Source organism: Homo sapiens, chromosome 7 (genome assembly GCF_000001405.40).
Source record: "Homo sapiens chromosome 7, GRCh38.p14 Primary Assembly".
Lineage (NCBI taxonomy): Eukaryota > Metazoa > Chordata > Mammalia > Primates > Hominidae > Homo > Homo sapiens.
The window spans coordinates 122,002,833-122,026,992 of record NC_000007.14 but is presented as its reverse complement, the minus strand read 5'-3'; the positions used below and the strand labels follow the sequence as shown (position 1 = coordinate 122,026,992).

The window sequence follows — 24,160 nt, the reverse complement described above, 5'->3', positions numbered from 1 at the left end:
GAATATAAGCCCCACAAGGCAAACTACTTTGTCTCAATCATTGCAGTGTTAGTCTTTAGTGCTCGGGAGCATGTGTGTCATGTTGGAGGTAACCCCGAAGCATTTCTCTGATGAATGAACTTCTATAAGTAGGAGTGGTGTAAAATTATATAGTTTACTTATAACCTTGATGTCACAAGCAAATAAACAAAAAACTTAAAGCAATGACGTACATAGCAAAATTAGTCATCTACTGTGGTAGTATAAGCCTTTGATAATCACACCTGAGAGAAGATATATTGAGAGAACACAGAAATATCTTCAAGAGAGAGCAGGTCGAATAAGAGAAAGGTGAGTGGATACAGAAACAAGTGTCAAAGGGACCCTCCTAACTAGGTTAATATCCTGGAAAATGGAGAGTATGGTAGACTGATGAGGAATGAGAGACATGAGGGCCACAGAAACTATCCTACAGAAGGCCCACATGAGCAGAAATGAAACCAGATTGTGGCAGAAACTATACAGAAAGTTTGGCTTATCTGTGCAACTATGAATGGAGCATATTCTGACATATTGATATGGAAACACTGGACTTGATACATGCTTTTAAGGTCACAGAATTAAAATCCCTTTGATTTCTCCAAAATACAGTTATACAAGCTGGTGAAATGTTTTAAAAAATATTTCAACGAATCTTAACGTTGTAAAATGCCTTTAAAAAGCTAGTGCAGTATCACAGCTGATACAAGAATCCCTTCAACAGCATCTCTAACCTATGGTTAAGAAGGTCCAGTTTGAATACCTTCAGTGAGAAGGAGATCACTCCTTTTGAATCCTCCTTATTTCCTAGATTTTATTTTTTCTTCTACTAACTCAAAACTCATTCCCTTCTAAGTATTTACAAATGGTACTCAAAGAATAGGTCTTCTTGATCCACTGTTAACAGCTCTAACGGGTTCATATCTATCCCCCTTTTACTTTTGCCCATATATTCTAGTTATATATTTTACAGATATTTAGATTATAATATCCAAGGCTTTTCAATACTTAAACCCTACCTGTCTGTGGTCCACACCCTGTTAGACTTTTCTTATTGAAGTTTATACTCTAACAATATAATCACATTGTAGATAAATAAACCTGCCTTTTCTCTCCTGACTCAGTATTTATCTATTCTGCTTTAAACATTCCTCTACTTCTAACCAAAATATCTCACTGGCCAATATGCCAGACAAACACTGCCTTCTTTCAAGACAGCTCAGAGGTATCTTCTCTGTGAAATGGCCTTTCATTTCCTAATCAGCCTTTAGCACCACAGCTTCTCCTTTTCCACTGCACCTAACCCAAATTTCTATTCACAAAAGCCTACATAAAGACTGTTTTGGCTGGGCGTGGTGGCTCATGCCTGTAATCCCAGCACTTTGGGAGGCCTAGGCAGGCAGATCACCAGAGGTCGGGAGTTCAAGACCAGTCTGACCAACATGGAGAAACCCTGTCTCTACTAAAAATACAAAAAATTAGCCGGGCATGGTGGCACATGCCTGTAATCCAAGCTACTCAAGAGGCTGAGGCAGAAGAATTGCTTGAACCAGGGAGGTGGAGGTTGCGGTGAGCTGAGATCGCACCATTGCACTCCAGCCTGGGCAACAGCAGTGAAACTCTGTCTCAAAAAAAAAAAAAAAAGAAAAAAAAAGAAAAGACTGTTTTGAAAAATACACCTAATCAATCTAAGAGTAATCTTCATTTCCTGGACATTATTCTACATTATTTATTTTAAGTATTTTTCTTAATTGGTGGTTAGTGTAATTGTTTTGTATTATATTTGTTTTGTGCTTATATCTTTATTACATTTTTAAAAGATGGGGCCGTATCTCTTGATTTTATGTAAACCCAACTCTTAATACTGTGCCAGGAGTAGAATAGGTGTTCAATATTTGTTGAATGATTAGATGGATTTCTAATAGCAAGTAAATCCCACCAATCATATGTTGTTCAGCTGCATCCTGGATTCCCTTACCTACCTTAGCCTCAATTGGGATAACTTGAAATCTCAAAACATTTTGGAAGGAGAGATAAGATATATAGGTAGAGAAGGATGGACGAATGGGTGGCTGGATGGGCAGATGGATCGATAGAGGATGTACCAATAACTATGACTGAATGGGAAGAAGGCAGCATCTCATAGAATATAAAATGGTAAATTAAAACATGTTGGCATTGAGGTTGAATATGTTGCTAGTGTTCACAGTAGTGTGGGTAAACACCAATTCTACTCTTGTCACAAACAAATAAACAAATCTGTAATCAAATCTTTGTTGGTTCTAGAAAATAAGTAGCCCAATAACCCTATTTGGCATTAATTTCCCTAAAAGACCTTATAAATAATACCAAAAAGCTTGTAAGTAAAAAAAAAAAATTAAAATAGTATAGGCTAAATTATGGATGAAGGTCATTTGCATATTGGTTAGGTATACTTTGTAGTGCAGTTTTATATAGCAAGTGACACTACACTTAAAAGGCAATCTGGTACCAGAAGACCTCCATTCTGGGTTAGTAGACATCTTCAATGATCCACAAATTCAAGTTTAAGATCAAGAGAGAATTCATATTGCTTTTCATCTCCCTACCCCCAGCCAAAACAATTGTGTTTATGTGAAGTCCTTTTCTATATTGCTTTTGATAGTGTGCCATTTGGTTGGGTATACCTTTGGTACTTTTTAGGTTCCAACTCTTAAAAAAGCTTTCAAAAATTTGCCTTAAAAAAAAAAAAACTTTTGAAAATCTTCCCTGTTGAAGTCATTTTTGCATCTTAGAAACTTATGGTATGGCCCATGTAAATTATACCATAAAACATCTGGAAAATGATTTCAAGGCATATTATTTAATGTATGACAAGATTCAGTATCTGTAGTCCATCTGTTCAGTATAAGCAGTGAATGTCTTCACGTCTATGTGCTAAGTGTTGATAACTACGTCACCTGCTAATTATCCATCAGGCATGATGAAAAAAGTGATGACTGTCTTAAACTTGTAGACATAGGTCCTATCAATCAATGGTAATCTGATTATTTGGTTTACGCCTTTTCATCACAGTATTTATAATGAAAACCTAGAAATGTGTATTATTCTATTCCTGGGTCTGGCTACAATCTTTTTTTTTTTTATATATATATAATTATATATAAAATTATACATATAATATATAATTATATATAAAATTATACATATAATATATATTATATATAAAATTATACATTATATATATAATTATATATAAAATTATACATATAATATATATAATTATATATAAAATTATACATATAATATATAAAATTATATATAAAATTATACATATAATATATATAATTATATATAAAATTATACATATAATATATATAATTATATATAAAATTATACATATAATATATATAATTATATATAAAATTATACATATAATATATATAATTATATATAAAATTATATATATATAATTATATATAAAATTATACATATATATAATTATATATAAAATTATATATATATATAAATCCCAAAGTTTTGGGATTACAGGCATGAGCCACCATGCCTCGCTGGCTACAATCTTAAAGATGATCTAGTGAACCTACCCAAATGGTAAACAGGAGAAACCAAGTCCTAGGTGGGTAATTGACATGCCCAAGGCCATATAGCAAATGCCGGGCAGAACTAGGAAAGAGATCTGGATTTTCTCACTTTGAATTTGTTCTGTCTTTTGGCTAAAATCTGCTTCCTCTGAAAGTTTATACAAAAAATAAGGGGAATATCTTGAGTTAGGTAAATTAGGTGAAATAGCAGATTTATTATAAAACTTTGAGATTAATTTCTCATTAAAATAGGTTAGAAACATACTTAAATATTTTCTTCTAAGAATTTTATAGTTCTTACACTGATGTCTATGGTCCCTATGAGTTCATTTTTGTGTATAGTGTTAGAAAAAGGTTTAATTTGACTTTTTGTATGTGAATATTCAATTGTCCTAGCACCATCTGTTGGAAGGACTATTCTTTGCCCATTGAAAAGTCTTTGGATCCTTGTCTAAAATCCACTGATCGTAAACATAAGATTTCTGGGTTCTCAGTTCGATTCCATTGATCTATATGTCTATTCTTATGGCAGTACCAGACTCTCTTGATTCCTGTAGCTTTCAATTAAAGTTTTGCAACTGGGAAGCATGAGTCCTTTAATTTTGTTAAATTCTTAGACAAAAATCTAGGAGTAAATCCATGTGGTGCTGGGTTAGGCAATGCCTTCTTAGATATGATACTGAAGGTGCAAGCAATAAGAGAAAAAATAGATGAATTTGGCCTCATCAAAATTAAAAACTTTTCTACTTTAAAAAAGATACCATCATGAAAGTGAGAAGATAACTCACAGAATGGGAAAAAATAATTGCAAATCAGATATCTGATAAGGGACTTGTATCTAGAATATATAAAAACACACAACTCAGGTTCTCCTCTTTCAGCTTTGGAGGCCCCCTCCCTCTGTCTCTGTACGGGGAGCTTCTTCCTTCTGCCTTCTCCCATCTTTCTTACCTATTAAACTCTCTGCTCCTTAAAACAAAACAAACAAACAAAACCACAACTCAATAATAGAAAGACAAATAACCCAATTAAAAAATAGGCAGCAAAGGATTTGAATACACATTTATCAAAAAAAGATATACAACTGTCCAACAAGCACATGAAAAAACACTTAACATCATTAGTCATTATGGAAATAGTAGAACACTTTAAAAACCATTGAATCATACACTTTAAAAAGGTGAGTTTTATGATATTTCAATATTACCTAATTAAGCTGTTTAAAAAAGTTTAAATATATAAACTTGGAAAAATTCTTAAGGACTTCATTACCATTAGGACTGTTATTGGTACGACATTAGATTTTTAAACCTTTTCTCAAGCTGTAGCTTTTACAAAGGTCTAAAATGTTTATATATTGGCTAGTGAAATCATATTGTTTACAAATGTAGCTTCACTGGAATTTGAATAATTCACATAAACCTTGAAGAATTAACTAAAACTATCATCTTGTGATTCAGCACATAATACCCCTAGCATATGATGATATGAAAATTTATATTTTTTAGTGAATTAACTTCAAACAGATGTTAGTAGGTCAGATATCTAACACTACTTAACATTTCAAAATAAGTAAAGATTGACAATTTTTATCAGAACATTTAATAGATATAAAACATATACATAAAACCATCAAAGTGATTTTTTTTTTGAGACAGTGTCTTACTTTGTCGCCCAGGCTGGAGTGCAGTGGCATAATCACAGCTCACTGTAACCTTGACTCCTGGGCTCAAGTGATCCTCCAGCCTCAGCCTCCTGGGAAGCTGGGAGTATGACATGCCCTACCATGCCCAGCTAAATTGTTTATTTTTATTGTTTTTGTAGAGATGGAGGTCTCACTATGTTTCCTGGGCTGGTCTCAAACTCACGGCCTCAAGTGATCTACTTACTTCACCTTTGCAAATTGCTGGGATTACAGGTGTGAGCCACTGTGCCTGGCCAAAATACTCATATATATTTTACACTATGACACTCTGCATTCAAGGTACCTAAAGTGTTATTTGTGAAGAAAAAAGAAATATCTTATTGAAGGTCAAATTAATATATTTTTGACTGGTAATTTTATCTTTTCCCCATATAATGCAGATGAAATGACACATTATTAATAGAAGATAGAAACCTCTCTAAATTTTAATTTTCCATGAAATATCAAATTGTATTAAATAAGATACTGATTTCCAAATTTTCAGAAAATATACTTGAAAAGTAACACAGATTAAGAAACGAATTTCAATCTTATAATTATAAACCATCTGACATCTTTATTGGAACTTTGTACTAGCACTATTTACTATGAAGCAGAATTGGTCATATTCTCCATCTTATTTTCAATTCTTAACACTGACTCCCATTAATTAAAAAGGTAGTTTGGTAGGGAAAATCAGATTAGATAGAAACCTGTAATCTGAATACACATATCAATGTGGTAAAAAATTTGGTCAACAAGTTCAGTGGGGAACGGGGAGAAAAGCAATATTTATTTTTGTTGAACACACATTTATGGATTATGGATTAGGTTCAAAGCACTCTGCTAAGCATGAACCCTTTAGCAAAAAAAAAAAAGAATCTTTGGCAATTATTGGAATCACCGGGATACAGACTAAAGAAACCAGGTTTGTTTGTTTCTTATTATAACAAAATAGACTCCTGACCCATGTGGGGTAACAAAAGCATGATCTGTTCTCCATAGTGTGCAGTCTACTCTGTTCTAGTAAAGGAAGTCAGATATGAAATACAGTTGATCATGAAGACATTCTACCCTAGCCAACCAATGTCCAACTACATGCAACTATTAATACATGCTCCAGACCTCACTGTGTCCGAAACATCCAATAGCTTTTACTCAAAAGACAGCTCATTTCTACTTCCCGATCTTTGCACCTGCTGTGTCCCTGCCTGGAATGCCCTTTTCCTTTCCTTTCTGACTCCCACAGAGCTTGAGTCCTACATTTTAGTTTACACTTGCCCTGAGCATTCTGGCCTACCAAGCTTCTTTGTTCTCTGACTACTTTTAGCACTAGATTTCAACTGCTACGCATACACTTTTGTGTAATATTTTATACATTTTTATAACAAATTCTTCCCCCTCAATAAGCATATATTTCTTCAAATCACTGACTCTTTTTTCATTCATTTGTTCATTTTTGATATTTCCTGATGGTTAACACAGTACTAGGTATGTGGGAAACAATCAATAACAATGGTAAATATTTCAGAAAAAAACACGAGAATATATTTTGAGAGAACACATAAAGAGTGCTGATACAAAGTTACAGAATGATGTTGCTAAACAAAAAAATTATGTATCTTCTGAACAAAATTCTTTTTTAAAATAAAAGTATGCTATACTTTATAAAAGTACTATGCTATGCCCTTTCTTGGTTTACACATATGATTCCTTATATCATCATAAAGCCTTTGTTTTCTAACAGACACAGTTATACTGACCTATGTTCCTCATAAATACACTAATTTGCTGTGTGTTCTGCTTTCCACAGGATGGAAATTTTATGATGGGTACAATTATTCTTGTCTTTAGGGACTTAATAGATTATTGACAGCGAAGCTATATTTCATCCCCAAAGCAAATTATATGTATCTTAAATGCCTGTGCATCTTAAGATAGTCATTAGCTGTAGTCTCTAATTATATTTATAGTTTAATTGCTTGATTTTACTTTTATGCACAGGTTATCATTTTTATCAGTATGTGCAGTTAATACACATCTTGTACAAACTCTTCTGTCATTGAAAAACAATACTTGTTATTATATAAAAAATGTTTTCTTAATTTTTGGAATTATAACAACTAACGAGAAGCTTAGACTTATGTTAAATGCTATGATGATATCTATTAATTAGATTAACATGAAAGTACAACTGTCAAAATACTGTGTTAAATAGTAACGGGTAAAAGTTTCTCCATTTTATCTTTAATTGATGTATGAAGAACAATTAACTCCTTCATTATTGTGCCTTTGGATTCACAAATTTACCTTGAATAAATTAATGGCAGCTCTCAGGTAAAATACATTTTGAATATGCTTTGAAGACCTTTCAGATGAAATATGGGCAAAATCTGAGTTTTATGAATTAAATTTTCCAAAACAAATACTCAACTTACCTCCAGTAGATGAGAATACCCACAAGAACCACTAGACAGATAAAAGTCAGGGCTGACACGATCACAAGGGGTATAACTGCCTTCTTCTCGGATTCCAACCCCTCAGCTAGACCAATACGAGACTCATGGCTACTATTACTGGCCTCTGTAGTCAGAGAAAATTGAGAGAATTGATATTTAAGGTGAAGGAAAAGTCACAGCATTTTTCAACTGATTAATTGCAACCTTCATTGCTGTTACTTACCTTTAAAATTTTGACTCTTTGATGCAAAGAATGTCTACAATTATAAGCCAATTTAATTAAAACAAAGTTTAAAATGTAAGGCAGGCTATTAGACAAGAAGAACTACAACATCCCAGCAGAGATTGGCACCCAGATAGGGGTGCCTTGGCAACAGGTAAGCATAATATTGCCTTGAAAAGCCTTGCTAAATAAGAAAAATCAAAGTAGTGTAATTTAAAAATCACTACTGATTTAAAATAGAATGGTCAGGAAAAACAGCGCTACTTACTGAATCACCATATATATTAATTTTCTAAAATAAATTTAAATAGGATTATTTTTAACCCTGCATTAGGTAAATAGTTAGAAGCAATTAATAATTTCATGAAGAAAAAAATCTTGGGATAACTCTTCTTATATTAGGATAACCTTTCAATCCAGTAATCGATTTCAATTTTAAATATAGATTGGTTTTAAATGTTATTTTGAATGTTCTTCTTACCCATTGTTTTATTCTACAAAAAAAAAAAAATGCAATTTCAGGTGAATTGGAGGAATATGTAGATCTAAGAAATTCTTCTGAAATATGCAAGTGTAAATAATTAAAAATCCGAATTTGGTCCTTGAGTTAATTTTAAAAGATGACACATGATTATTTTGGGGGCCAGTCAGGTACATTACTGTACTAGCACTTTGAAAATCACTTTAACTAGAGATTACCTTCCAAGTTGTTAAAAAAAGAGTTTCAGAACAGTGAGTGTTTGTGGCCAATAACAATCCTTCCTCTTTGCTTTGAGGTGTGTTCAGTGGGAAACCAAGATGACTGAGCATGAGAACGGTTTCTAACATTACAGCATGCTGACAGTGCTACAAAAAGCCCTTATATCTACCTGCAGACATTCTGAAAGAACCACATTTGAGTTTCCCATCAAAATCTACATGCCTTCTTATGCACTTGGCACTTCTGATGCTTAAGTAATAGGAGACAGAGAAACTTCACTTAACTTAAATATGTATTTAAGAAAATTGAGACTAATATAAGTGCACATATATAGCATTAAAATATATCTAATTGGAGAGAACTTAAGATTTAAAATAATAGCTTTCTTCTGTTGATCAAGGGTGATAGCAGAAAGGGACAGGAATTTAATCCATTAATAAAGGGAATGTATCAGGCTGGGCGTGGTGGCTCATGCCTGTAATCCCAGCACTTTGAGAGGCTGAGGCAGGCGGATCACTTGAGGTCAGGAGTTCAAGACCAGCCTGGCCAACATGGTGAAACCCCATCTCTACTAAAAAAAATAAAAAATACAAAAATTAGCCAGGCGTGGTGGTGCACACTTGTAATCCCAGCTACTTGGGAAGCTGAGTCAGGAGAATGGCCTGAACCCGGGAAGTAGAGGTTGCAGTGAGCTGAGATCACGCCACTGCACTACAGCCTGGGCAACAGAGTGAGACTCTATCTCAAAATAAATAAATAAATAAATAAATAAATAAATAAATAAATGTAATGTATCACAGGAATATAAATGGCACACACACTTCCCAAGATGTTTGGTCTTATAACTATAAATGCATTTACTAGGAAAAATGGAATTCAAAGGTGTGATTAAAAATCATAAAACTGTATAAAAAGTGAAAATGTTCTAAGCCAACTCAGCCCTGAGTTGTAGCTAATATTCTTGTGAGAAAAGCCCAAGACTCCATTTTTTAAAATGTTAATCCTAAGCTCTGGCCATTATTTTGTGGAGACTCATTTAGAATCATCTAGTCACCTAAATAACCTGATGGTGAATGCAATGAGCATTTCCTTATAAAATTTAGAAAAACATCTTATTTTATACATGGTTGTCTTCACAGTTTTTTCTATTGTAACTATTGTTACCTAGATGGAAAGTAAGTGTGTCAGTAATAAATGAAAACATTCACTTAGCAAAGTCCTTGGTACCTCATTTAGTACAAATGGTGGTTAATATTATTATCTATATCAGATTTTCTTGACGTTTGATCCCCAGAATAGCAGCATCAACATCATCATAACTTAGAAATGCAAATTTTAGGCTTCGCTCAAACCATACAAAATCTTCTGAACCAGAAACTCTGTGTGTAAGGGTCAGCAATTTGTGTTTTGACGAGTCCTCCAGTTGATTTTGATCTATGTTAAAGTTTGAGAACCAGTGATGTAGATTAATATATGTACGAAGTAAGCTTATATAATTATGCAGGTCTTCAATAGCCACAAATTTTCAAAGCAACATGTATATGGGTATATATATATATAATTACATATTTCATTTATATATGTATAGCATACATATATATGAGATATGTCCTATCATATATGTCATATATGTAAGATATATAATGCATTATATATGTAAATATACCATATACACATATTTATATACAGACACTGTATACACACATGCACACACATATAGTCTTGTGTATAAACTTTTCTCAAAAGTGCTCTGGGATATTTGATCTTAAATCCTTTAATTAAGGAGTCAGAATGATCAAACTATGGCATGAAACCTAGCTCTTTTACACAAAATAGGATATCTTATGAAAGCACAGACAATCAGTTGGTTGCTTTGTGTACTATAATGAGGAATTAATTTTACTGATTTTATTTTTATTTATTTGAGACTAAAATATCTCCTTGAGATGGCTCAGTAGTATATATGAGTTACCTAAATTAAAATATTTAATTAATAGGTAATTAAGAAATAAAAAACTAAGATTAACATTTTAAAAGATGTTTTGAGAATAAGATAGTATAATTTTGGTATTACAATTTAAGCATTACATTTATTTAATTGGCCCCTAACATGAAAGCATAATCTTTAAGAGATAGACATTTCCAGGCTCAGTTTTGTATTTACTCATGTGACCTGGATCAAATAATCTAGTATCTTTGGGTGTCAGTGTACTCATTTATAAATTGTGGATACTAATATTTGCCTTATCTATAGTATTTTAAAGAACACATCCTGTAAATTGTTCTGCATTCTAGAAATACACCATAAAATCTTAAGTTTCAGAGCTAGTCTGCATGCATTTGATAAAGGGATATATTCAATTATTGGATAAGACAGATTACATATGATTTTATAGATACAGTTTTAAAAATAGGCCAGAATTTTCCCCTAATCTTGTTTGATCTTATTTACTTCACTAATTATGTTACTTGATAATGTTGGATGTCATATTCATATTGTTTTATCCTAATTAGTGGGAGAACACACTCTTGATAATTAAATAAAACTAATTAGTGCACTGAAGAGAAATTTGCTAAGCTTTAGTCAATAATTTTAGGTTTAGCATCTCATTATATATATCCTTCTATAATAGCATAGTCTAGCAAGAACGTATCAATGTCACTACCTGGTAAGACAGATAGATGGATTCCTGATATTTTCTTTTAACATAAATCTAATGAAAACTAAAAAGCAGCTACTATAATTGAGAACAGATAACAGTTCATATATATGACAGCACTAATGACTATAGTGACCTATGGATTCATTATTCATTCTCACATATCAGCATTTAAGTGTTTAAAATGCAATGTTAAATAGGTATCAATTCAGAATACAGAAAAAGTTTTCTATCAAAATGTACAAACTTTTAATTGCTGCTGCACTGAAGAAAAAATATACAACTAATTAAAAAGATGAAATCGCAAAGAGGAAAAATATTCTAATGAGACTGATGTCTATGTTCTGGATTACAAATATTCACTTTTATACAATGAGTGCATTTTGTTACATTAGCCTATCATTTAACTTGATGTTAAGATTTAAATAGTTTCATTATTAAACTTTAAGATACGTTCACATTTAATAAAAGCAAATTATAAAATTCTTATGACCAATTCAATGAAAGTATTACTTTTCTATACTTAATAGGATTGAACTTCCCTCTTCTTTCCATTGGCATTTAAAGCAGACATCTGTATTATAAACACTGCACATAATCTGCTCTAAGAAACATCTGGTCAGTAAGCTAATTTGCATAAAATACATTCACAAATGAAATTCATTTCTACAGAAAAATGTTTAGTGTTTTACATCTTGTGATACAATACCTATACATACTGTACATATTAATGCCCATTATTTAACTTAAAAAAGTGTGTAACAGCAGGCATAAAGTAAAATGTATTTTGATGGTTTACACTGCCCTCTTTAGGCAACATTAAGATAAAGAAAGACAAAAAAATTAAAATTTTTTTTAACTTCATTATTAACTCTCAAAACTTAGTAATAAAACTAAATAAATAAATAAATACATAAATACCTCCCTGGCCTGGTGCAGTGGCTCACGCCTGTAATCCCAACATTTTGGGAGGCCGAGGCGGGTGGATCACGAGGTCAGGAGATCAAGACCATCCTGGCTAACATGGTGAAACCCCGTCTTTACTAAAAATACACAAAATTAGCCTGGCGTGGTGGTGGGCGCCTGTAGTCTCAGCTACTCGGGAGGCTGAGGCAGGAGAATGGCGTGAACCTGGGAGGCGGAGCTTGTAGTAAGCCGAGATTGCACCACTGCACTCCAGCCTGGGCGACAGAGCGAGACTCCGTCTCAAAATTAATTAATTAATTAATTAAATAATAATAATAAATAAAGCTCCCCAAGCTGATATGAATGTGGAAATTAACTAATTCCTTTCTACAGGGGTGTGTCAGAGAGAAGTGCTTATGTCACATTACTCTCAGATTTAATAATTCATTTTATAATTAAATAGAATTAGTTTACAACTTATTTTAGAACAAAAGTATGAAAATTAAAATCATCTAAAATAGCATACTCTGATCTTGCTTTAAAAGCAGTGTACTAAAAATGTATTATGCAAACAGAATTGCCCCCACCCATAAAAGACATCCTGTAGAGTATGAAATATTGACAATAAATAAAAATTGTTTTGTCTATTTTGGAGAGAATTAAATTAAAAACCAAAATGTGTTAAATAATTGTTTGAAATAATAAATAAAATTATACTTCAGAAACTGGAGACTGATTTGTTGAATGTTTTGATTTTAAAAATGATGATGTACCATTTTACCAAATTTCTATCTTTCTATAATTTTCATTTTACTTTTAGAGCAAGCAAACCACCACACCTCAATCTGTCCTTCTGATCCGTAACTAACCTGCCTCTGAAACGTGGAACACTTCTGAGTTCTCGCTAGTAACAGATGATGTTGGGGACTGTGGGAATCCAGGAGTTATTTCTGAGTCACCTGCTGCCAGGATCCCATCAGCATCTTTTTCATTAGTGTCTGCAAAACTGAAATCTGTGGAAGTCTCATTCTCATTAAGGCTATCTGAGGTACCTTGCCCTGATCCACTTTCTTCATCACTTGTCAGAACTGCCCATGCTTTAGATTCAGGGCTGAGAGGAAGCAGAGCACTACCAGTCTGAATGTCATTTTCCTCTTTTCCATCATTGTGCTTTTGGGATAGCCCATTTGCTGATGGTGATTTACCAGGACTTCTGTCCATACCAGTTTGACTGTCTGAGGATACACTTGTGACTCTATTATCTTCTTCAGAATTCTCAGATAGTGAGTATGAGATTGGATTATTCTGATCCATAAGACTGTTTTCGTGGGTGTCTGAATCATTCATTACCTTTTCCTGTGATTCTCTATAGGATGAGCATGACATACACTTATGAATGGATAAGCCATCACTACCTCTGTCATCATCATCATCATCACCATCATCATCAGTGTCACCATCTTCACCACCACCCACTAAACCGGCATCAGATTTGGCACTATGACTCAGCTCAGAAGTTGCCTTAGAAGGAAACAGCAACTTTGTTGAGGTTACAGAACCATCTCTGTGGGGAGAAACAGCTGTAATGGCAACATGCCCATTTCCTATAGGAACAGAATGATCAGTAGATACAAATGTATCAGAAGCAACTGTTGGAATACCAGCAAATACCTTACCAGTAACAGAACTTTTGGTGGAGGTTAAAATTTCATCGGAATGTATAAGCTTATTTATTAGTGTATTTAATGGTTCATCAATTGATAAAACAGGTGTAGCAAATACATGCCTTCCTTTTGGGGGATGGGCCTGGTTAATCTCCAAATTGGCCGTTTGGAACAACTCATCATTACTGTACAAAGAAGGTACCACTTGGTGGGAACTTTCACTTTTTAACAAAACTGGTTCATATTTCTCACTTGCATAGGAAATGGTCAAACCTTGAAGTGAAGCAGAGTGCATATGAGAAGTAGGCGACACATCAAAAACTGGTACAGATGTAGAGTGCAGCATGTTTTCACTTGAAGCAGAATTTGATACAATGAGATGCAACATTGTAGAACTAATTTTATCAACTTTGGGGGTTTCAACCAATATTGGATCACTGGGCACAGCTGGAAGAACAGTTTTAAGCAAGGTGTCAACATCAGAAGCCTGAAAGGAAGGTTGTAGCAATACTTCAGTACTAAAAGAAGCTGAGGTCTCATAAAATAAGAGCTGAGTTGAAGGAGATAACATTTCACTAGAAGCAGGGTCAGAGGATGCTGGCTCTGAGTTTGCACTAAGCACAGGTTTAAGCGAAGTGTCACCAGATGCTTGAGAGACAGTATGTGTAGGTTGAACTGAAAAGTTATTTTCTGGAACTTGACTAATCTCATGATCAAAAACCTTAGTGGTGGTATGAGCAAGGGACCCTGGAAACATGCCCTTGGTGCTAGAAATGGAAACAGAGGTTTCTTGTAAAGACGCATTCAACTTATTTACATTATCATACATGTTGGGCATGACTGTGCTTTCAGAAGGGTAAACCATCTCATTGAAAGAAGGAATTTGCAGTTCAGTCTCATTTCCATATATTATTTCACTTTTAGAAAGCGCCTTATTATCATCACCAAACACAGATGTTGTATATGTAAATTCAGCTACAGAAACAGGTGAAGAAATGTTAAGGGCTGTCAGCCCATCTGTGTCAGGTAAAAGAAATTCACTATCAGAAGAGGCTCCAGACCATTCCCCATCACCAGAGAGGGCATGAGTAGGCTGCAGTAATGATGCAGTTGGGGTTATTAACGAAGACTTAGGTATTGGTATATGGCTAGGGCCGCTAAATAAGGAACCCTGATAAGTTACACCCACAGAATCATGCACAGGTATTGCAGAACTGTAAGAAACAGTGAAGATGTGTTGGGAGCCCTCATTATCAGACAAGGCATAAGAAGGTTCAGGCCCTGAAGAACGTGCATGCATCATGGCATCACTGCTGGGTGGTTCAACTTGAGAAAACATAAGCGTTTTATAAAGAACACCAGATTCACTACCAAATTCCAGCGTCTCTGAAGCAGCATGAGTAGTGGACAGCACATCAGAATACTGAGCAAGGCTGGGCTCTAATAGCAAATCACCCCCAGCCACTGGCAGAGAAGCATGCAAGGGCACCTTATCACTCTCGGTAGCTGAAGTAACTTGTGGAAGGATTTGAGAAACTGTATGCAGATGGCGAAACAATTCACTACTGAAGGAAGCAGAGGAAAATGGAAGCAAAGGTGCACCATCATAGGAAGACAGGATGGATTCAAATGACACATCGACACTGGGAAATACAGGCGTAGCATGCAAGGCCGAATCACTACTTGAAGCAGCAGGGGTAGTGTTGAGGATCTGATTGTCAAGCAACAAAGGGGTGACTAGAGGAAAGACTTCACTACTGTAGGAAGGTTGAAGAGGTGTCTCACCATTGTATACCGGTTGGGTTGTCTGCGAGTATACCACGTTGACCGTGGAGACCAAATCCTGTTGTCTGGAGGATGGGGTAAAAGCATGAGGTGTTACCTCAGTTGGGAAGTAGGCAAAGGTAGAATAATGTGGCATTTCCAGATCTGTAACTGAGGGACCCTGTGACATCACTGGGCCTGCAGAAAAGGACTTGGTTGTCTTCTCAGATTCATCAACACGTATCTCAGTGTAATTAGTCTGGAGAAAGCTCTCTCTGCCTGATCCAACATCGGGCTGTGCTGTTATGTCTGTAGAGCTAGGAAACCACACATTTCCCTCCATAGAAGGATCCTTTAGTGATTCTTCTGAACCTGATGAAGTTGAATCTTCGGAAGCATTTCTAGCAGATTCTGGTATAAGGACATCATATGTTATTGTCTCTGGGTTTTCGGAGGAAAATATATACCCTTGGGATATGTTCTCAGAGATGAATGGGATAGCAGAAGTTGCGGGACTGGAGCCTGAAGAATCTTCAGCTCCAGTATCAAGCTTGAAACTGGTCAATAAACTCTCCTCCTCATATTCTGTTATAGAAACTGTATTTAAGGATTCTGCAGTCCCCGACAAGTTCATATGTGGAGATCTAAGAACAGTTTTAGAGCCATCATTTAAAGAGGCTGAAGTACCTTCCACAGTGTGAGGTGGCAGTTCAGTCACAGTCTGAGAAGTCAAGGAAATATCTTTTTCTGTGGCTAATTTAGTGACTGGTTGGGAAGTGGAATTTAAAGATGTATTGGGAACATCACCCTTTCCAGAGAATTCACTTCCTCTTGTTGGGGATCGGTTAGTCTTGGCTTCATTGTATTTCGTCCCTATGCGATTGTAGTGTGTTGTGGTAGAAATCTGGGGTTCCTTTTTCCTGATTTGGTTTGTAGCACTGTCTCTACCAGGATTCACAATAGCGCCTTCTTCAATGTCTTTTCCCTCTTCCTCCTCCTTTGAAAAGCAAACAAGATTTAATGAGTCATAAGGAAATAAGAGAAAAAGAAAATCTTCATATCTTACACTGCCAATCATCACTTGTGGTATCTTGGGAACTTCTCATCCTCATAAAACACCATTCTGTACAATGCATACCTCTAACCTACAACCTTTACCATCCGCTCTACAGGGGAGTAATTAAACGTAATGAAAACACCTAATTTATGGCCGCCTTTATTTTAATGCTATGGAAAGAAGTGGTTAAATGAATAGATACCACATATTTAAAAGGAAGACACACTGTAGTTATTTATTGACAGTGTTATTTAACATGGCATTTATTTTATTGTTTTTATATTTCTTTGTTCATCAGGCATCAAGGTAAATAGCCATTAGCTTATTGTAATAAGAATTGGCGATGAAACTATTTTAAAGACCAAAGTAGTTGAACATTCAGAATATTTAATTATATCTATTTAGAGCAAATCATAATTTTAAGGTCATAATAAGGGGAAGATTTAGAACTAAAAGAGGTGTTTGGTTTTCTTTTCCTTTTGTTTTTTAATATTTTCCACTTAAGACTTAGGCAGATATTTCAAAGGCAACTTGTCAATATATGATTCTACTCCTAGTTTTTTAATTTTGTGTTTCCCTTAGAATCACCATTCAGGAGGCTGAATCTTCCATGCAATGACCCAGGAGGAGACGTCTAGTCTTCTAGCTAGAAGTTAACCAAGACCTATGCTTTAAGCATAATCTTCATTGCATGGAAGATTCAATATATGTATATATATACATATACGTATATATACATAAAACTGGGTATATTATATCTAATTATATACTTAGAAAACTCAATTGCCAAAGTTATCAAGTTTTTTTTTTTTTTTTAGTTCATGTGGGACATGATTTTGTCAGTATCTTTGTACCCAACAGCTTGTTAGAATTGTCATTTATTTGATCATCTATTAGATATTTTAAGGCCATGTTCCTTAAAAGAAAAAAATTACTGAGTACAGCCATTGAGAACTTGACCAGTATCAGTAGAAAGAATCTGAATCTTAAGCTGTGTGTGCTCATGAGCATGTGTCATACACACGGAAATCTGCACTGTATGAAACACACGATTCCAAGCTTAATGGCTGCCTCATTATTTACAGCTTAATTATTTGGCTGGTCGTGAGTATCTTCTGAAGCATAAGTGACAACTTTAGGAAGTTAGTGCACTTGATCTGAATTATATTGAGTGCTAAAAATGGCTACTCTCTCAGATTCCCTTGAAAAATTTCCTTACAAGTAGTCAGTATTCTTTATGAAGTTTTACATTCTGTGTGATACCTTGTTCACAAGGACCACCTGAGAGATTTTCCCAAATAATTTCCTAAATAAAATATTCCTATAATCTACAAACCTAAAAACTTAATGCAAAAGGAAATGAGAATAATTTGCCTTGACTTGCTTTTAGGGAAAATTGGTTGGTGCCAATTATCTCTTCTTTCCTTAGAAGTTCTCATAAATATTTGTTTTATAATGTGATGCAGAGTTTTGCTGGGGATCAATGTTAAGCTTGGCAGTGTGGAGTTTCTAAACTCTTCCTTGTTTTTGCAAACCTAAATATTTGCCTAGTTTTCTGGTATCACTCCACACTCCTTCTCTCTACCAAAACTCTGTCAAACCTTCATTTTCCTATCCTTTCCTCCCATTCTCAGCAGATGGCCTTCCTGTTTTCAGGGAAAATAGAAGCCACCAAAGACACACTTCTTCTTAACATAAAAACAGGGACCAACCAAGTTATCTCTGCCCCTCCTGTCCTGTTATAACTAAAGAGTTGTTTTCCTTCCTTTCTAAAGCTAATTCGCACTTCTGTGTTTTAGATCTAGTCCCTATCATGAACCTGGGAATTGAACATAATTGAGTAGTTCAGTCTATTTTGTGTTTCTGATTTGTTTTCTCAAATTCTCAAACAGATAATTCTCATCAGCTTAAATCAACTCTGATCTCTCTTATTTAAAGGAAACACAAAGGAAAACCTCTAATTCACCTTCTAGTTATCATTCTACTTCTCGTCTCTCCTTCACAGCAAAAGTTCCCCAAAGATATGTCATCCATTTTCTCTATATGATCTAACAATGTCTATTGACTTCCACAATAATATTACATTTCTTTCTCTTTGCTTATATTTCCACATAAACATCCTTTATCATATCCTCCTATAAGCAATGTAAATTTTCATAAAATTTTTATTGTAACATAATGCTACACACCTCTTCTTATTACATAGTTGGGAAAAAACTATGCACACATCAGATACATATGCGTTCTATAAACTTTATGAGGTTCAGAACCTCTCAGAACCCAGTGAGGGTGATTAGACCTTCATTAATCCTACCCTACCATATCTTGTTGATCGCTGTAAGGTCACATTGGCTATGTCAACATTTTAAGAAGAACATATCATTCATACCCTATGATTACTTTATTCATATCTGACTACAAATATTTTAACAAATACTCTTTCCTACAATTTCTTTATAGAGTTATTGTGACTCTTCCACTGTAGTTTTGATCTGTGTCATATGTTATCCTTCACAACTTCATTTTTAAAAGTTAGTGTAAAGCCATGATCATGCTACAGATACTTTGTCTTGCAAAGTCATACATTTCTGTTTGGAGAGGATCTAAGAAATATCCTTCAAACTCTTTATTTCTATATTCAGGGATTAAAAGTCATTATGAATATATTCCATGCATTTTCCAGCCTGTCATTCATTCCTGCATGAAGCAAAGGAAGTGAATAGTGGATTGGTTAAGAAGTGTTTTCATCCCATCTCATAATCATGCTCCAGGAAGACATATTGTGACATGGGTCTCTTTCGATTTGACAATATATTATTAATACAATAGTTAATTTCAATAGCAAGAACTACTACCAATTTACCAAGCCAAGCTTACCAATCACTGCTCCTGTATCCTTTATTTTAAATCCCCATCTGTGTGGTGGTAGCTGGTTCCCTCCCCCTTGGCAGTGCCAAGGATTCTTCCAGCTCAAAGAATTAGAGCTGCTGTTTCTTTGGGTACTACCACCATGGGTAAAGCCCCACAAACCAAATAAGCCTAATGTCATAAGAATTCTTTCTCCTCCTCATTTTCCTCTAGATCATAGCCTTCTACCAACAAGTAATGACATTGATTTTTAATTCTACTCTGCTTTCTCAGGTGACTCCTTCCTCAGTGTGTTGTATATTCTCATTTTGCTTTCCACAGCCTCTCTCCACCTGTCTCCATTCATTCTAGGCGGGTGGCCAGATAATGTGGTTATTCCTTGGGAGGTTCCTTACCTAACTGGTCACCACAGGATGGTGCTGTCTCATTACAGAGGCCACAGCATCTGCTGTGCCATTCTCTCTGCACCTTCTCCTTGCCCTCTTGCCTTTCAGTTTAGATGTAACAACGAGTCCCTGATATAATTCATACCAAATGTACAATGCCACCCCTTGTTTGTTTGCATTAAGACTTCCCACACCTGTGAATCATCCTTTTTGATTAAATTAACCTCCATGACTCCACTTGAGTGTGGCATCTGTTTCCTGTTGAGACCTGGGCTGATGCACTGAGGCTTTTTTTTTCCTCCTATCTAGGAACTTTTCTCTGACTACAACAAGCCAGCCTGCTCACATATCTTCACATTCTTCTCTAACAGGAAGATCTGCTTGTGTTTGTCATATATGTACATGGCAAGACCAGAGGCACCATGACAGGAATAGCTTTAGGTATCTCTATTGTAGAGTGTATGACAAAAATAAAGATATACCTCCATTATGTAAGTGGAATAAGCCAGGAACAGAAAGATAAATACTGCATGTTCTCACTCTTATGTGGAAGCTAAAAAAGTTGATCTAATAGAAGTAGAGTGTAGAATAGTGGTTATTAGAGGCTGAGAAATGTAGTGGCGAGGGGGCGACAGGCAGAGATTGGTTAAATGATACAAAATTACAGCTAGATAGGAATAATAAGTTCTAGTGTTTGATAGCACTATAGGATGACTACAGTTAGCAATAATATATATTTTCAGATAGGTAGAAAAAAGGATCTCAAATGTTTCCAACACAGAAAAATGGTAAATGTTTGAGATAATGGATATGCAAACTACTCTGATTTGATCACTATATACCTCATAAATATGTAGAAGTATTATATGTCCATTAAAAAATGGAAAATATTTTAAAATGCATATAAAGTCACATGTGTAGCCTATTCACACAGCTAAATATTATACTAAATACAATATTATAGTTTTATGTAGAAATTTACTAGTAATTAACATTGGAAGATTTTAAATAACTTTTGTAGGCTTATGGTAAAAGTTGCCTTAGGGTTAATGGCAATAGAGAAGAAAAATAACTAAACATGGATCTTGTAACTAAAGTAACTAAGCATGGATCGTGAATCATGGTAATGGGAATTACTATGAAAAATAATTGATTGTTCCTTGGTCCTTTCTAAAAAGTCTGTGATGTGTAATACTTATATAAAAGACAGAACTTAAACAGAATATCATTTAATACATGGCACCAATTACTGAAAAAAGGGCTTACATCAGTATGTCAGACCCATTATTTGAATTAACAACTCAGCACAAATATAATTTCTTTTTTGACTTAATTCTGTTGATCGCTTGTATGTGTGTGTATATATACATATATATATATATCTCCATATGCATGTGAGCATGTATGTACATATACAAATAAAGTTATTCTTAGCTGAAATCTATAAACTCCTGTTACAAAGTAGACTGGTCATTTTGGTAAAATAGTCCCTTGTAAGAGAGACTAGCCATAAGATACATAAAATATCAAGATAGTTTATACCTATGAAAGACCTAATTGTTATTTATTGCTAGATAACAGCACTAGTTGTCACACTTTTATCAGCTCCTACACAATCTATACACATGTACACATTCGTATTATCATCAACAATAGCACCTGAACTGAATATATAATTTCAGTTATGATGAACAGCACATTAGGGCATATGATGAAATATAAAAGATATTAAACAATCATTTTCTCTCTATTTAAAAAAATAAAATAATGTTAAAATTTATAGTCTCAAATACCTATACATTTTATCTTTAAAAAGTATAGACTACTCGTAGTATAAGTGCCTGTTGTCAGCACAATGTTCTTTGAGTAAATTAATATTTATCAACTTAAATAATAAACAATTTAAATGGGCAAAAAATATATATACAATTTATATTTTGGGCCACATTTAGCGTTAATCTATCAATCGTTGGTTATTTATATATAAACTGTAGAATGTTAAGAACTGGTTAAATATAATTTTAGTTTTTCAGAAAAATTTGGAGACTAAAAAAATTCCAGTTTATAGCTGTAGTGCATAGCTATAATTATTTTTAAAGTTCATTGTTTTTTTCTTCATCACCATTTATATTTCTTGTTTTTTAGTACTATACCAATCAAAACATCTTTCAACTTCTTCATAAGAGAATCATGTATATAAATTATGTGACTATCTATATATAAAGCTTAGCAACTAACCCCACAAACAGTGAATCATACACACAACTTCTATTCATGTGGCAATACCTAACACCCAAGCAACAATTCAAAATAGACCATTTAATATTAAAACATTTGAATATAAAAATGGCTATGATACCTTGATTATTTCTTCAGTTCCAATTAATTCAGGGAAAAGATCAAGTTCTACAAAATTAAAAACAAAATTATTAAAGTTTTTATTCAACTATTTCGGCCTTTGTGGATTTACCTTTGGGTGAAAGAGAAAAAATTAAAAAGAATAAAAAAGTTAATGTCAGCTTTGAAAATACAGACTTTCTCACAATAAAAATTCCAAATTTTAGTTTTCAACATTACTGAACACTACAACACAACACTACATGAGCTTATATGTAACTCTACCCAAATCTTGATCTCTACCTCCCACTCCACTCCCTTCCCCATTTCCCCTGCCCCTAAGTCTGATTGAAGCTAAGAACGGAGAGGAGGTCAGTGAAACTGATAAAACTGAGTGTAAAGAAACGCAAATAATTTTTCATCAGTACAGAGTTATTTCATCCTTAGCAGGGCTGATAAAAGCATGGTTGGGGAAATGCCAGGGATTTTCTGGAGAATTGGTAGAATTTATTTTCTTATTTAGCAACCTCTTCCTTAAGTTTCTATTTTGACTGAGGGACAAATAATTATCTTTACTCCTCAAATCTGGCCTCATACCTATTTCTATACTGGGTGCTGCACCAGGTAAAATGAAGAGTGTTTTCCAGCAGGTTCCAGCCTTGCTGTCAGCAAGAAGAACTAACAGAGTGAATCTTGTGCATTCTCCCCAGGGAAACTCAGCTAATGCTGTCTACTTAAAGAATCTGATGACCACAATCATTCACGTCTGTTTGTCCCAACAAATCAGAATCAACATATATCTCAGTTCTAAAACAGGACCTGTCAGGGAATGTCAGGAAAGACTAAGCTGGTTCTTTCTCTCCTAAGAAGGAATCTAGCCACTCTACCACGTTACTGAGCGGCCAGAGAATTTTTCTTTAGTCTTGGTCTGAGCTGCCTGGGTCATTAGGAAAATGGTAGACAAAGTAACTGTGAGGTTTGAGCATTATTATAATGATGTTCTTCAAACTCCCATGCCTTTATGGAATCTCAGGCTATCGCCAAAATTTATGCTCTGCACTATCCTAATGCTGCTTATGTTCTATGTTTTATGTCCTCAAAGGAAATGCATACTCTATAGAAATTTCAAGGTATAACTGAACCAACATTAAATGTTGATCATACCCAGGTCTGTTTTCCAATACAAAGTTTCTTGCGTTTATTTTTTACCAAGACTGCTGGGTATTAATATATTGAAAACCATAAAATGAGAATTTATGTAAAATCTATTAAGCATGCCTAGCTTCCAAGAAGATTCAGATAAAGTTCATACTCTTGACAACTTAGCTGTTTCAAAATTACTTACCCTAAACAACTCCTGTAATTTAAAAAGGAAAGTACTCACTAGAAACAATCACAATCTTACTTTTAATTCTCACTTTTTTTCTCGTTAAAACTAACCATGAAGGACTTTGGAAATTTTATTTTGATCATTAGTGGTCTCCCAGTTCTATTTCTCTTCCTATGAAATCCTTTCCTCACTGTCTGTTCTTCATGCTCTTTATTCTTTACGTTTCCAAACTAAAGTGATTTCAATCATCTCAAACACTTGTGTCTTTGTAATCGCCATGCAAATTAATACATTTGAATTTAAAAATGAGATGCAACTAAACTGTGACAGACAAATGACCTTCCTTATGATTTTCTAAAAGCTATGACTAAAGAAGTTCATGCATATAAAAAATCTTCAAATTAAGCCCATTAGACAATACCTAGTTTTATTGAAAATAATTTGAAGTGTAGCCACTCTTTTTCATAGACTGTTGAAATATTTAATGCTCATAATGGCAAATCATAATCAAATACTTATT

The 24,160-nt window shown here is 34.2% G+C and overlaps 1 protein-coding gene across 5 annotated transcripts in view; it reads right to left on the bottom strand.

Annotated features, from left to right (window-relative positions):
* The window catches only part of PTPRZ1 (protein tyrosine phosphatase receptor type Z1), a 188,876-nt gene that overhangs the window by 35,044 nt on the left and 129,672 nt on the right, over positions 1 to 24,160 (bottom strand). For 3 of the 5 annotated variants that reach the window (NM_001369396.1, NM_002851.3, NM_001369395.1), the window contains 3 exons: positions 22,333 to 22,379; positions 13,104 to 16,659; positions 7,725 to 7,869 (listed from right to left, as the gene is read on the bottom strand). In NM_001369396.1, the coding sequence (NP_001356325.1) occupies positions 7,725 to 7,869; positions 13,104 to 16,659; positions 22,333 to 22,379 (3,748 nt within the window). The remainder of the gene's footprint in view (positions 1 to 7,724; positions 7,870 to 13,103; positions 16,660 to 22,332; positions 22,380 to 24,160) is intronic. The other 2 variants (NM_001206838.2, NM_001206839.2) reach the window with 1 other exon arrangement.